Source organism: Homo sapiens, chromosome 2 (genome assembly GCF_000001405.40).
Source record: "Homo sapiens chromosome 2, GRCh38.p14 Primary Assembly".
Lineage (NCBI taxonomy): Eukaryota > Metazoa > Chordata > Mammalia > Primates > Hominidae > Homo > Homo sapiens.
This window is the reverse complement of record NC_000002.12, coordinates 18,628,027-18,643,679: the sequence shown is the minus strand read 5'-3', so window position 1 is coordinate 18,643,679 and position 15,653 is coordinate 18,628,027. Positions and strand designations below refer to the sequence as shown.

Below are 15,653 nucleotides of genomic sequence, written 5' to 3'. Positions count from 1 at the left end.
AGTCTGTGGATGGACTAGAGAAAGGATCCAGCAATACCTCACTTCACACAATCATCTAAATCTCCTGTAAGCAAAAAGGGGCCAGAACAAATCTAGCAAATTCCAAGATTAGTTTTCGGCTTCTGCTCTTCCATCCGAGGTCCTCATATGACACAGATTGACTGTAGTCTGAGGAATCGCAGACTTTAGAGAGAGCCCTTTGAGAATAAATTCCTGCTTCCTTCTTCTCCCTCTTGATGTCCACTGCCTTAGTCCAGGAAATCTTTACCTTTTGCCTGAATTATTGCAACAGCCTAGCTTCAAAAAAAAAACAATAAATTGCCCAGTTATCCTCCTGTGTCTTAATTCGAAAGTTGAACAGTTTTAAATTTTACAATAAAATTATAATTTATCTTGAGTTATTTTTTGTTATCCTATGGTATGAGGCAAGGATTGAAATTCGGGGGATTTTTATGTGAATAGTCAGTTTTTCTAGAACCATTTACAAAAACACTTTAATTTCCTCCTTTTAATTAACTTGGCACCTTTGTAAAAAAAAATCAGCTGGTTATGGATGTGTGGATATATTTCTGTTTTATTTGATATAGTTTTGGTACTTATGCTGATACTATACCATCTCTTGATTACTCTGTAGCTTCACAGTACAATTAGATGGAATAAGTCTTCTAACTTTTTTTTCCTTCTTTTTCTCTCTCTTCTTCCTCTCTTGCCTTCCTTCCTTCCTTTCCTTTTTTCTCTTTCTTTTTTAGTTGTTTTGAGACTTTTCTGATATCTCACGGTTACTGATTCTAATTTATCACTGTTGTGGCCAGAAACATATTCCATATGATTTCAGTTCCTTGAAATGTATTGTGATTTGTTTTGTGACCCTGCATATGGCGAATGTTTTATATCAACTTTAGAACAGAATACCTATTTTAAATGTTGGATGTGGTGTTTTATAATTGTCAATTATGGTCACATTGGTTGCTAATATTGTTCAAATCCTCTATATCCTTACTGAGTTTTATTTCAACTTGTTCTATCAATCTCTGAGAGAAGGTCTTAAAATTTTCCAACTGTAATTAGTTCTGTCAATTGTTGTTTTGTGTATTAACCATTTATTCATAAAGAGAAAATGAAGTTTCTCTCTTTATCTCTAGGAACTCTCCTATTCTTGAGACCCATTTTTTAATTAACAGTATAGTTTCACCAGCCTTCTTATGTTTATCATTTGCATGTTATATATTTTCCATTCTAATTCTTTCAATCTGTGTCTTAATATTTAAAGTTTGTTTAAATGGTTCATTTAAATGAATGGTTCGTTCTTTTGTGTCTCACACAAAGATCAGTTTTTAACAGTTTTTTGAAAAGCTTTGCCTCTGTATTCCTTCTTGCAGATTCAGGTGTTTATGAAGTATCATTTCACTTCAGCATGAAAGAACTTCCTTCAGTTTCTTATAGCACAGGTCTGCAGGAAACCAGTTAGCATTTGTCTATCTGTAAAGGCCATTATGTTCCTTCATTTTGAAGGATAATTTGCTAATATGTCATATCCTATGATATAATATTATATGATTCTGAACAAACTTTTTTTCCTGTCAGCACTTTAAAAATAGTCCAATGTGTTCTGGCCTGCATTGCTTCTGATGAGAAGCCAACTGATTCCTGCTTTTGGTCTCACACATGCAGTGTGTCCCTCCACAGTGTGTTTGCATGTGTACCAGGAGGCAGGAATAAGGCTAAACCAGTCTAAACTGTAGTTGATCTGCCTGGGTTTTATTGCAGAACTGGTTAGATGGTTTTGACTGGCTTCAAGTGATTTGAGCACAGGATTAGGGCTTTTAGCTCAATGTGGCTTAGAATCTGAGCATAGTCAGACTCTGAAGGACCCTTTAAGCTTTATAGCCCAGCGTGCAGATTTCTAAACCAGGGTGGTCTCTTCCTATTTTATAGCCTAGTGGCCAACTCTCTAAGTCACTGAGTTCTCTTTGAATTCTGGCCTCCTGGTCTGGGGTTTGGGGCCTCAGTATGTCCCTTCTCCCCTGATTCCCTTCCCCTAGCCTTCAGTGGACCTCTGAAGCACTTTCTACAAAGGTCTGCTGAACTGCAGAAGGCTGCCTCTCAGGTCTCCTGCCCCATCTACAGTTTTCTGCAAGCCTCTATTTTGCACTCAGCCAAAGCTCTGTATGCTCTGGATGAATCTCACTGCTTTCCTACTTGAACCCTAGCCTTCTATAAGCTGCTTCTGTGCACATGGGGAATGAAGGTTGTGCCTCAGAGTGATCTTCTTTAGCTCTTCTGACATCCCCCTAGCCTTCAGCCTGCTATGTCTCTGCTCCCCATGAATACCCATAGGTAAAGGTTAATAGGTAGGTAGAGACATTCTGTGACTGTGACTGGGGGTCCTCAGTATTCTGATCCTTATGCCAGGCCACATGTAGCCATTAAGAATCCATTAATTAAGTTTCCTCCATCAACATTCCTTATATCCCCAGAAGTTATGTTTTAACTTGTTCTATCTATTTCAACTTGTTCTATTTCAACTTGTTCTGCCAATATCTGAGAGAAGGTCTTAAAAGTCTCCAACAACAATTATGTCAATTGTTGTTTCATGTCAATTGTTGTTCATGTACTCATAAAGAGAAATTTTAAAATTTTCTAAATTTTCTTTCCATATCTTTTCCATCAACATGGAAAGAAAAAAATAAAACTGTGTGACGATCATACCATAGAACACTACACAGCACTGAAACTTCACAACTAGAGCTGCAGCTGTTTCTAACTGGCTATCTTGGCCCAGGAAGGGGGCCAAGATACCCAATTAAAACAGCTGCAGTCTGTGGCACTCATGGAGAGGAATGAAAGGGGCGAGTGAATGCAGCACCTTCACTGAAATATCTAGGTACTCACATTTGGATGATGAGAGAAACAACTCGAACTGCAGAAAATGAAGAAAAACAGGGTGGGGCGATGGCCTACCCAGGAGCAACAGGGAGCCAAGGGACCCCCCACCCCCAGCCAAGGGAAGTGGTGAGTGAATGCGCGACCCCCGGGAAACCACGCTTCTCCCACAGGATCTTTGCAACTCATAGATCAGGAGATCCCCTTGTGAGTCCATACGACCAGAGCCTTGGGTCTGACACACAGAGCTGTGGTGTGGAGTGTTGGCAGAGCAGCTGTACAGGCACACACAGAGACCCAGGAGCTTTACATACTCCAGTTCCAGGATTCCCAACAAAGGTGTCTGCAACTCAGGCAAGGCATGAGATACATACATACCCCTAGGAAGGTGGTTGAATCCAGATGGCTGAGCAGCGTCAGTCTGTGGGCTCTACTTCCATAGCACCTCACAAGGTAAGACCCACTGGCTTGGAATTCCAGCCAGCCACCGGCAACTAGGTGGAGCCTGCCTGAGACAGGATGGAGCCCCTGGTAGGAGGGGTGGGCTGCCATCTCTGCTGTTTGGTTGACTCAGCCATTCCAGCCTGCAAGCTTTGGAGAGTCCAAATAGTCCCGACGAGGAAGGGACCCCCCCAGCACAGCACAGCTGCTTTGCTAGAACGTGGCCAGGCCAGACTGCTTCTTTAAGGTGAATCCATCTGATCCATTCCTCCTCACTGGGTAGGACCTCCCAGCTGGGGCCTCCAGTTACCCCCAGATACATGTATTCTATGAACGGAGCTCTGATCTCTCCCTAGGAAGGAGTGTCCAGGGGCAGGGGAGGGCTGCCACCTTGGTTGTTTTGATGACTCAGCTGTTCCAGCCTGCAGGCTTTGCAGAGTCCAGGCAGACAGGGGCAGAGGTGGTTCCCCAGCATGGCGTGGCTGTTTTGTCTAGGTGTGACCAGGCTGCTTCTTTAAGTGGGGCCCTGATTCATTCTCTCCTCCTGGGGTGGGTCCTCCCAGCCAGAGCCTCTGGCTACCCCCACCCACGTTCTACAGCTGACAGAGTTCTAATTTCTCCCTGAAAGAGAGTGCCTGGGGGTCAGGTCAGGCCAGGCCACCGCCTTGGCTCTTTGTTTGGGCATCTCAGCTGGTCCAGCCTGTGGGCCTTGGTGAGCCCAAACAAATCAAGGGCTGAATGAGGATCCCCAATACAGCACAGACGCTCTAACAAAAAGTAGCCAGACTGCTTCTTTAAGCAGCTTCCTGATCCTATTCCTCCTGACTGGGTGAAACCCTGCAAATGGGGATTCCAGCCACCTTATACAGGTGCATTCAAGCTAGCAACAGGTCAGTAATACCCTGGGACGGAGATTCCAGAGGAAGGGGCAGGCTGTCATCTTTGTTATTTTTCGGCCTTCAGTGGTGAGACCTCCAGGTACAGGAAAAACCAACATGACTAGGGTCTGCAATGGACCCCCAGCAAACCACAGCTGCCCTATGGAAGAGTGGCCAGACTGTTAAAAGAGAAACAACAAAAACACAAAAACCCCATCCAAAGGTCAGCAACCTCAAAGATTGAAGGCAGATAAGCTCACAAAGATGAGAAAGAGGCCGGGCGTGGTGGCTCATGCCTGTAATCCCAGCACTTTGGGAGGCCGAGGCAGGCGGATCATGAGGTCAGGAGATCGAGACCATCCTGGCTAACATGGTGAAACCCCATCTCTACTAAAAAATACAAAAAAATTAGCTGGGTGTGGTGGCGGGTGCCTGTAGTCCCAGCTACTCGGGAGGCTGAGGCAGGAGAGTGGCATGAACCCAGGAGGCGGAGCTTGCAGTGAGCCGAGATCGCACAACTGCACTCCAGCCTGGGCAACAGAGCGAGACTCCATCTCAAAAAAAAAAAAAAAGCGAGAGAGAAAGAATCAGCCAAAAACACTGAAAATTCAAAAAGCCAGAGTGCCCCTTTTCCTCCAAATGATTGCAACACCTCTCCAGCAAGAGTACAGAACTGGGCTCAGGCTGAGATGGCTGAAATGACAGAAGCAGGCTTCAGAATGCAGATAAAAATGAACTTCACTGTATTAGGGTTCTCTAGGGGGACAGAACTAATAGGATAGATGTATATATAAAGGGGAGTTTATTATGGAGTATTGACTCACACGATCACAAGATTAGATCCCATGATAGGCCATCTGCAAGCTGACGAGTAAGGAAGCCAGTCCAAGTCCCAAAACCTCAAAAGTAGCGCAGCCTACAGTGAAACCTTCAGTCTGTGGCCGAAGATCCAAGAGTCCAAAAGCTGAAGAACTTGGGAGTCCAATGTTCAAGAGCAGGAAGCATCCAGCATGGGAGAAAGATGGAGGCCAGAACATTCAGCCAGTCTAGTCTTTGCACGTTTTTCTGCCTGCTTTTTATTCGGGCCATGCTGGCAGCTGATTTGATTGTGCCCACCCATATTGAGGGTGGGTGTGCCTTTCCCAGTCCACTGACTCAAATGTTAATCTTCTTTGGCAACACCCTCACAGACACACCCAGGAAGGATACTTTGCATCCTTCAATCACATCAAGTTGGCACTCAATATTAACCATCATACACACCAAGCTAAACAAGCATGTTGTAACCCAATGCAAGGAAGCTAAAAATCATGATAAAACAATGCAGCAGCTGACAGCAAAAATAGCCAATATAGAAAGGAACATAACTGTTTTGATAGAGCTGAAAAACCCACTACGAGAACTTCACAATGCAATCACAAGTATTAATAGCAGAATAGACCAACTGGAGGAAAGAATCTCAGAGCTTGAAGACTATCTTTTTGAAATAAGACAGTCAGACAAGAATAGAGGAAAAAAAAGAATGAAAATGAATGAACAAAACCTCCAAGAAATATGGGATTATGTAAAGAGACTGAATCTAAAACTGATTGGGGTACCTGAAAGAGAGGGAGAAGGGAACCAACGTGGAAAACGTACTTCCGGATATCATCCAGGAAAACTATACCAACCTAGTAAGACAGGCCAACATTAAAATTTAGGAAAAGCAGAACCCAGTAAGATACTCCATGAGAAGATCATCCCCAAAATACATAATCATCAGATTCTACAAAGTCGAAATGAAATAAAAAATGTTAAGGGCAGCCAGAGAGAAAGGCCAGGTCACCTACAAAGGGAAGCCCATCAGACTAGCAGCAGACCCCACAGCAGAAATTCTACAAGCCAGAAGAGACTCGAGGCCAATATTCATCATTCTTAAAGAAAAAAATTCCCAACACAGAATTCATATCCATAGAAACTAAGCTTCATAAGCAAAGGAGAAATAAGATCTTTTTCTGACAAGCAAATGCTGAGGGAATTTTTTACCACCAGACTTGCCTTACAAGAGCTCTTGGAGGAAGCACTCAATGTGGAGAGGAATAACCATTACCAGCAGCTGCAAAAACACACTGAAGTACACAGAGCAGAGACATTATGAAGCAACCACATAAACAAGTCTGCAAAATGAACAGCTAGCCTCATGATGAAAGGACCAAATCCACACATAATAATACTAACCTTAAATATAAATAAGCTAAATGCCCCCATTTAAAAGACACAGAATATCAAGCTGGATAAACAACCAAGACCCATTGGCATGCTGTCTTAAGAGACTCATCTCACATGCAAAGACACACATGGGCTCAAAATAAAGGCATGGAGAAAAATTTGCCAAGCAAATGGAAAATAGAAAAAAGCATGGGTTGCAATCCTAGATCAAAAAAGACCAAAAAAGACAAAGAAGGGCATTATATAATGGTAAAGGTTCAATTCAAGAAGAAGAGCTAGCTATCCTAAATATATATGCATCCAATACAGCAGCACCCAGATTCATGAAGCAAATTCTTGGAGATTTTCAAAGAGACTGAGACAACCACACAATAATAATGGGAGAATTTAACATCCCACTGACAATATTAGACAGATCATCATGACAGAAAATTAACAAAGATCTTCAAGATCAGAACTCAGGTCTCGATCAAGTGGGCCTGATAGATATCTATAGAACTCTCCACACCACATCCCCACTACAAAAAAAAAAAAAAAAAAAACCCAGAATATATAATCTTCTCATCACCACATAGCATTTACTCTAAAATTGATCACATATTTGGAAGTAAAACACTCCTCAGCAAATGCAAAAGAACTGAATTCATAACAAACAATCTCTCAGACCACAGTGCAATCAAATTAGAACTCAAGATTAAAAAATTTACTCAAAACCATACAACTACATGGAAATTGAACAATCTGCTCCTGAAAGATTTTTGGGTAAATAATGAAATTAAGGCAGAAATCAAGAGGTTCTTTGAAACTAATGAGAACAAAGATATAATGTACCAGAATCTGTAGGATGCAGCTAAAACAGTGTTAAGAGGCAAATTAATAGCACTAAATGCCTATATCAAAAAGCTAGAAAGATATCAAGTTAATGACCTAAAAACACAACTGAAAGAACTAGACAACCAAGAGCAAACAAACCCCAAAGCTAGCATAAGACAAGAAATAACCAATATCAGAGCTGAACTGAAGGAGATAGGGACACAAACAAAACCATTCAAAAGTCAATGAACACAGGAGCTGGTTTTTTGAAAAAATTAATAAGATAGATGCACTGCTATCTACACAAATAAAGAAAAAAAGAGAAAATATTCAAATAAACACAACTAGAAATGATAAGGGGGATATTACCACTGACTCCAAGGAAATACAAACCACCATCAGAGAATACTATAAACACCTCTATGCACATAAGCAAAAAAAAAAAAAAAAAAAAAATATATATATATATATACATATATATATATATATATATACATATATATATATATATATATATATATATATATATATATATATATATGAAATGGATAATTTCCTGGACACATATACCCTCCCAAGATTGAACCAGGAAGAAATTGAATCCCTGAATAGACCAATAACAAGTTCTGAAATTGATGCAGTAATAAAAGCCTACCAACCCCCCCCCAAAAAAAAAAAAAAAAAAAGCCACACAAAAGCCCAGGACCATACAGATTCACAGTTGAATTCTACCAGAGGTACAAAGAAGAGCTGGTACCATTTCTACTGAAACCATTCTAAAAAAATGAAAAGAAGGGACTCTTCTCTACCTCATTCTATGAAGCCAGCATCATGCTAATAACAAAACTGGACAGAGATACAACAACAACAACAAAAAGAAAACTTCAGGCCAATATCGTTGATGAACAGTGATGCAAAAATCCTCAACAAAATACTAGCAAACTGAATCCAGCAGCATATCAAAAAGGTTATGACCACAATCGAATAGGCTTCATCCCTGGGATGCAAGGCTGGTTCAACATAAACAAATCAATAAATGTGATTCATCACATAAACAGAACTAGAGACAAAAACCACATGATTATCTCAATAGATGCATAAAAGGCCTTTGATAAAATTCAACCTCCCTTTATGTTAAAAATTCTCAATAAACTAGATATTATAAACATACCTGAAAATAATAAGAGCCATATATGACAAACCCACAGCCAATATCATACTGAATGGGCAAAAGTTGGAAGCATTCCTCCTGAAAACCAGCATAAGACAAGATTGCCCTTTCTCATCACTCCTATTCAACATAGTATTGGAAGTTCTGGCAGGAAATTCAGACAAGAGAAAGAAATAAAGCATATTCAAATAGGAGGAGAGAAAGTCAAACTACCTTTGTTTGCATATGACATGATCCCATATATAGAAAACCCCACTGTCTCAGCCCAAAAGCTTCTTAAACTGATAAGCAACTTCAGCCAAGTCTCAGGATACAAAATCAATGTGCAAAAAATCACTAGCATTCCTATACAACAACAACAGGCAAGCCCAGGGCCAAATCACAAATGAATTCTCATTCACAATTGCCACAAAGAGAATAAAATACATAGGAATCCAGCTAACAAGGGAAGTGAAGGACCTCTTCACAAAGAACTGCAAACCACTGCTCAAAGAAATCAGAGATGATTTAGGGCCGGGCACGGTGGTTCACGCCTGTAATCCCAGCACTTTGGGAGGCCAAGGTGGGTGGATCACGAGGTCAGGAGTTCGAGACCAGCTTGACTGACATAGTGAAACCCCGTCTCTACTAAAAATACAAAAAAAAAAATTAGCTGGGCATGGTGGCAGCCACCTGTAATCCCAGCTACTCGGGAGGCTGAGGCAGGAGAATTGCTTGAACCTGGGAGGCAGAGATTGCAGTGAGCCGAGATCATGCCATTGCACTCCAGCCCGGCAACAGTGCGAGACTCTGTCTCAAAAAAAAAAAAAAAAAAAAAAAAAGTCAGAGATGACACAAACGAATGGAAAAACATTCCATGCTCATGGATAAGAAGAATCAATTATCATTAAAATGCCCATACTGCCCAAAACAATTTATAGATTTTATACTACTCCATCTCAAAAAAAAAAAAAAGAAGTCAGAGATAAACACAAATGAATGGAAAAACATTCCATGCTCATGGATAGGAAGAATCAATTATCACTAAAATGGCTATACTGCCCAAAAAAATTTATAGATTTTACGCTATTCTCATTAAACTAACGTTGACATTCTTCAAACAGAATTAGAAACTATTTTAAAATTCACATGGAACCAAAAAACAGCTTGAATAGCCAAGGCAATCTTAAGCAAAAAAAAACAAAGGTGGAGACATCCTGCTACCCAACTTCAAACTATACTTCAAGGCTACAGTAACCAAAATGGCATGGTACTGGTACAAGAACAGACACATAGACCAATGAAAAAGAATAGAGAACCCAGAGATAAGATCATGCACCTACAACCATCTGATCTTTAACAAACCTGACAAAAACAAGCAACAGGGAAAGGGTTCCCTATTTAACAAATGTTGCTGGTAGAACTGGCTAGCCATAATCAGAAAATTGAAACTGGACTCCTTCCTTACACCATATACAAAAACTAACTCAAGATGGATTAAAGACTTAAATGTAAAAACAAAAACTATAAAAAGCCTAGAAAAAAACCTGGGCAATACCATTCAGGACATAGGCATAGACAAAGATTTCATAACGAAGATGCCCAAAGCAAAATTGACAAATGGGATATAATTAAATTAAAGAGCTTCTGCACAGCAAAAGAAATCATCAAAAGAGTAACCAGATAACCTACAGAATGGGAGAAAATTTCCACAAACTATGCATCTGACAAAGGTCTAATATCCAGCATCTATAAGAAAATTAAATTTACAAAAAAAATTAAAAAGTGGGCAAAAGGACATGAACAGACATTTCTCAAAAGAAGACATATATGTGGCCAAAAAACATATAAAAAAAAAGCTCCACATCACTGATGGTTAGAGAAATGGAAATCAAAACCACAATGAGATACCATCTCACACCAGTCAGAAAAGCTATTATTAAAAAGTCAAAAAACAACAGATGCTGGCAAGGTTGTGGAGAAAAAGGAACACTTTTAGACTGTTGGTGGGAATTTAAACTAGTTTAACCATTGTGGAAGATGGTGTAGCAATTCCTCAAAGACCTAAAAACAGAACTACCATTTGACCCAGCAATCCCATTACTGGATATATACCCAAAAAAAATAGAAATCATTCTATTATAAAGATACATGCATGTGTATGTTCATTGCAGGACTACTCACAATAGCAAAGACATGAAATCAACCTAAATGATCATCAATGGTAGACTGGATAAATAAAAGGTGATACATATACACCATGGAATACTATGCAGCCATAAAATGAAATGAGATCATGTCCTTTGCAGGGACATGGTTCAAGCTGCAGGCCATTATTCTTAGCAAACTAACATAGGAAAAGAAAACCAAATACCACATGTTCCCTGGGCCTGGCCCAGGGAACCATTTTTTCCTCCTAGGCCTCTGAGCCTGTGATGGGAGGAGCTGCGTGAAGATCTCTGACATGCCCTGAAGATATTTTCCCCATTGTCTTGGTGATTAACATTTGGCTCCTCATTGCTTATGCAAATTTCCGCAGCCAGCTTGAATTTCTCCCCAGAAAATGGGTTTTTCTTTACTATCGCATTGTCAGGCTGAAAAATTTCAAAACTTTTATGCTCTGCTTCCTCTTGAATGCTTTGCCACTTAGAAATTTCTTCTGCCAGATACCCCAAATCATCTCTCTCAAGTTCAAAGTTCCACAGATCTCTACAGCAAGGTAAAATGCCTCCAGTCTCTTTGCTAAAGCATAACAAGAGCCACCTTTGCTCCAGTTCCCAACGAGTTCCTCATCTTCATCTGAGAGCACCTGAGGCTGGACTTCATTATCCATATCACTATCAACATTTTGGTCAAAGCCATTCAACAAGTCTCTAGGAAGTTCCAAACGTTCCCACACCTTCCTGTCTTCTGAGTCCTCCAAATACCTAGGAAGTTCCAAACTTTCTCACATTTTTCTATCTTCTTTGAGTCCTCCAAACTGTTCCAACCTCTGCCTGTTACCTAGTTCCAAAGTCACTTCCATATTTCTGGGTATCTTTACAGCAGCACCCCACTACCCAGTACCAATTTACTGTATTAGTCTGTTCTTATGCTTCTAATAAAGACATACCCAAGACTGGGTAATTTATAATGGAAAGAGATTTAATTGACTCACACTTCAGCACAGCTGGGTAGGCCTCAGGAAACTTATGGCAGAAGGGGAAGAAAACGTCCTTCTTCACATGGTGACAAGCAAGAGAGTGTGTATGTGCAGGGGAACTGCCCTTTATAAAACCATCAGATCTCATGAGACCTATTCAGTATCATAAGAACAGCATGGGAAAAACCCACCCCCATAATTCAATTACTTCCCACTGGGTCCTTCCCATGACACATGGGGATTATGGGAGCTACAATTCAAGATGAGATTTGGGTGGGGACACAGCCAAACCAATCAGTTCCCTTGAAGGTTCCTTGGGAAACCCACCTAGAGGCCTAGATACATGCAGTTCTGGAATTTGCTTTTGATAAGCTTAATTTTTCCTTGCAGCATTAAGCACTATTTCTCCAGTTTCATCTCTTCCTTCTCCTATCTGGAGTATTTTATTATCTAGGCAGAATAGTCTACTTCAGTTTTAGTTGTGCCAAGTTCTCTCAGCTCTTGGATGTTTTACACCCTGTTTTCTCTTTCTGGAAAGATTTCCACCACCTCCACCTAAATAATCTTTAGTTTCCTTCAAAGTTTTTCTATCTTGTTGGGAAGCCTGTTCTTTCACACTACTCCCTGTAAGCTGGGTTGGGTACACCTCCTGTAGGCTCCACAACTTCCTGTCCTTACAGAGTGCTAATCATCCAGAATTGTGACTTTCTCTTCACTTGCCTCCTTCGATAGACCTTAGACAATTCCTTGGAAGCAGGGAACCCAAGACATTCATCTCTGACCCTTAAGCATTTGAAGCACAGTAAGTGCTCCATAAATGTTTGGTAAATCAATGAGTGAATGAGTAAGGACTCCAAAGCACCCTGATAAATATGATGGCACCAGGTCTTTTAAAGGCTCATTTCCCTTGCACAATCAGAACTAAGACAAACAACCTGAAGTCCTCCACTCAGAAGAACAATAGCATGCCAAGCCCTCTGGCACAGTATGGTCAGCAAAGAGTGTGACTTCATGAGATTGGTGAAGACAGCTGTGGCTACCCAGTGGTCACTCTTCAAGTTCTCAACAGAGCCTCAACAAGTCTAAAAGGAAATACTATGCATTCACATTGCTCTCCTTTCATCATTGACTCATTCTTTCAACAGATATTTATTAGGTCCCTGGGCACTTTTCTAGTATGGAGATTCAACATCAGTGAACAACAAAACAGAATGCCCCTGTTCTCATTAAGCTTGCTCTTTAGTTGCAGAAATAGACAACAAAGCACAAGATAAAAGTCAGATGATAACAGGGCTATGAAGCACAAAAAAGCACAATGAGGGACTTAGGGTGGGGTGCCAGTCCTATGGATGGTGGTCAGGGAAGTCTGCTCTAACTGGGTGACACTTGAACAGAGAGCTGAAGGAAGTGTGGGGGGTGAGTCATGTGGACCTGCTGGGGCAGAGACCATAGGACAGAGGGAAGGATGGCCAAAGCCTGAGCAGGAGAATAAGAGCAAGGGGCCTGTGCAGTTAGAAAGTGGGGAGGGAGACTGGGGAGAGAGGCCGAAAAGAGGTCAAAATCTAGTCAGAGTGAGATCAGGAGGCCCTCAAAGGTTATGGTAGGACTTTAGATTTGTTCTCAGTTCATTCAATTCTGTAACTCTACTTCTTTCTAGAAAAAAAAAATAGTAATCATGCAAATTTGGACCATCCTGTGTCCAGACATTGTTTACTTACCTTCCCATCCTTAGATTTTCACAATTTCTTAATCTCAGAAGTACTGATATCAGCCAAGTAGAGGAAAACATGCAATTTTCCCTGGTACTCTTCTGGAGAAACTCTCAGCCAAGAAGTCACAGATGAATTCTTCAAATACCTCTGAATTGCATCCATGATGTGACTCATTATCACACAGATTTAGATGCAGGTGGCCAAATCATAGCCTTCAAAACTTATTTCCTTGAACTATAAATCAGGTATCAGTGGGGCTGTTCCAGCTGTTCCAGAAAATAGGGGTTGCCTAGAAAAATCTTGCTGTACATTTAACAGCTGTACATTGTCATTGCCCAAAACAGACTAACATTCAGATTTTGCATTTATATTTCAGCAATTCTGTATTTAAATATCAATCCTGCTAAGGTCCAGTTGTTGTTTCACTATGTTGTCATTAGACCTGAAGGAGAAAAAATAGCTTTTCAAATTATACTACGCAGCCATAAAAAGGAATGAATTAACAGCATTTGCAGTGACCTGTATGAGACTGGAGACTATTATTCTAAGTGAAGTAACTCAGGAATGGAAAACCAAACACTGTATGTTCGCAATGATATGTGGGAGCTAAGTTATGAGGATGCAAAGGCATGAGAATGATACAATGGATTTTGGGAACTTGTAGGGAAGAATTGGAGGGGGGCAAGGGATAAAAGACTACAGATATGGTTCAGTGTATACTGCTTCGGTGATGGGTGCACCAAAATCTCACAAATCACCACTAAAGAACTTACTCATGTAACCAAATACCACCTGTACCCCAAAAACTTATGGAAAAATAAAAAATATATGATAAAATAAATGAAGAATAAATCATTAGTGGATACATATTAAAAAAATTAGAACGTGGGTCTTCTTCTAGAAGCAGAAATACCTGAGTTCAAACCCAGCTCCACAGATTTATTATTTTCTATTCTCAGGGAAGTTTCATAACCTTTTTTCTTCAGTTAAATCATCTGCAAAATGGGAATACTAATAGCACACAACACATAGGGAGATAGGGAGGGTTAAATGTGCCCAGGCATAGTAGGCTATATATATACACACATATATATATATGTAGGTTTATATAATGTATGATTGTGTTTGAATCCTAAAAATATTGTTATTTATAAAAATTAAAAGCAATCTAGTCATTTATTTTCAAATTGAAATTAATTCCATTTTAAACATTTGATAACTTCCAATTTTCAAACTCCAAAGCCAATGTAATCATCAGCCTCCCTAGAAGACTGTTTATCTATAAATGAATAGTTTTGGAATGAATGATATCTAAGTATTCTCAATGAAACAACTGTATAATTCTAGTGATCCACCAAAGGAGTCTCTATCCACTTTCTATGATTTCAGTGAGGTGGGAGAGAACTGAGACTGTTCCTATGTATCCCCATCCCCATGTACCTCTGAGTGGGAGGAGGAGGAACAAAAGGGAAAGGCTAAATTATACAGTCACGTGAGATCCAGCACAGTTGGAAAATGGGGCAGTTATAAAATCTGAGATCCCATGGTTACCTTATTCCTCTAGCTTTTCAAACCAATAGAAGGTTCAAAAGTATACCCTGCTACAAACACACAGTTTGAAAAATAATTTTAATCCGCTTGATAGTTCTTCCTTATATAGTGACCTCAGTAGAAGTTTGGAAAAATGGACAGTCATCTTTGCTTTTCTCCTAAGACTTTTTTAACCTTTGCAGGTGACATCATGGGTACTTCTCAAAGGCTCAGGACTGCTAGCCCTTACCTTGTTCACAGAGTCCCAGAACTGATGCAAACTCAGAGTTCACTTTGAAATCTATCAACATCAACTGACTCCTTCAATAGTTCAGAAAATAATAAATGGCCCCCAAGATATGAGCATTTAGCAGTATGTTTGGCCTTGGAATCTTGTTAAGGCACACAACTTCCAAATGAGAATTTACAAATTCACCCAAAGTCTTTTGTTGATAACCACATGTGTACTCAACACAGAAGAAAATATAGTTGCAGAGACGACAGAAAAAGTAACAAATACATCTGCATTTATCAGCTCAGTAAGTATTCACCAAGCTCCTACCCTATGTCATGTACCAGAAGGTACAACAGTCATTTTTATAGTTAGAGAAAGGGTATCTACAATTATCTTACTTTTTTGTTTACTTGTCTTTTGCTATGCTGTCTACTAAAATAAAACCACCATGAGATTAAGGGCCATGTTTAGTATTTATAACAGACATGGTGGACAAACTATAGCTCACAGGCCAAATCTAGCCTATCACCTGTTTTTGTAAACAAAGTTATATCAGGAAATAGCAAACTTATTTGTTTATAAATTTTCTATAGCTGTTTTCATACTACACAGCAGAGTTGAGTAGTTGCAACAGAAAGTATGTCGACCACAAATCCTAAAA

General features: G+C 40.0%; 1 long non-coding RNA gene across 11 annotated transcripts in view, besides 3 other annotated features; it reads right to left on the bottom strand.

The window, feature by feature from the left end:
* The window catches only part of LOC105373456 (uncharacterized), a 529,181-nt gene that overhangs the window by 445,677 nt on the left and 67,851 nt on the right, over positions 1-15,653 (bottom strand). The gene's annotated exons all lie outside the window — the stretch shown is intronic.
* Positions 23-317: a silencer, noted in NCBI's record as "tiled region #8729; HepG2 Repressive non-DNase unmatched - State 24:Quies". NCBI's record gives its function as "represses a minimal TATA promoter and a strong SV40 promoter by Sharpr-MPRA in HepG2 cells {active_cell/tissue: HepG2}" and the evidence as "EXISTENCE:reporter gene assay evidence [ECO:0000049][PMID:27701403]".
* Positions 3,341-3,841: an enhancer, noted in NCBI's record as "H3K4me1 hESC enhancer chr2:18821105-18821605 (GRCh37/hg19 assembly coordinates)". NCBI's record gives its function as "activates a minimal SCP1, AML or CMV promoter by ChIP-STARR-seq in primed H9 embryonic stem cells {active_cell/tissue: H9 hESC(primed)}" and the evidence as "EXISTENCE:reporter gene assay evidence [ECO:0000049][PMID:30033119]".
* Positions 3,842-4,342: an enhancer, noted in NCBI's record as "H3K4me1 hESC enhancer chr2:18820604-18821104 (GRCh37/hg19 assembly coordinates)". NCBI's record gives its function as "activates a minimal SCP1, AML or CMV promoter by ChIP-STARR-seq in primed H9 embryonic stem cells {active_cell/tissue: H9 hESC(primed)}" and the evidence as "EXISTENCE:reporter gene assay evidence [ECO:0000049][PMID:30033119]".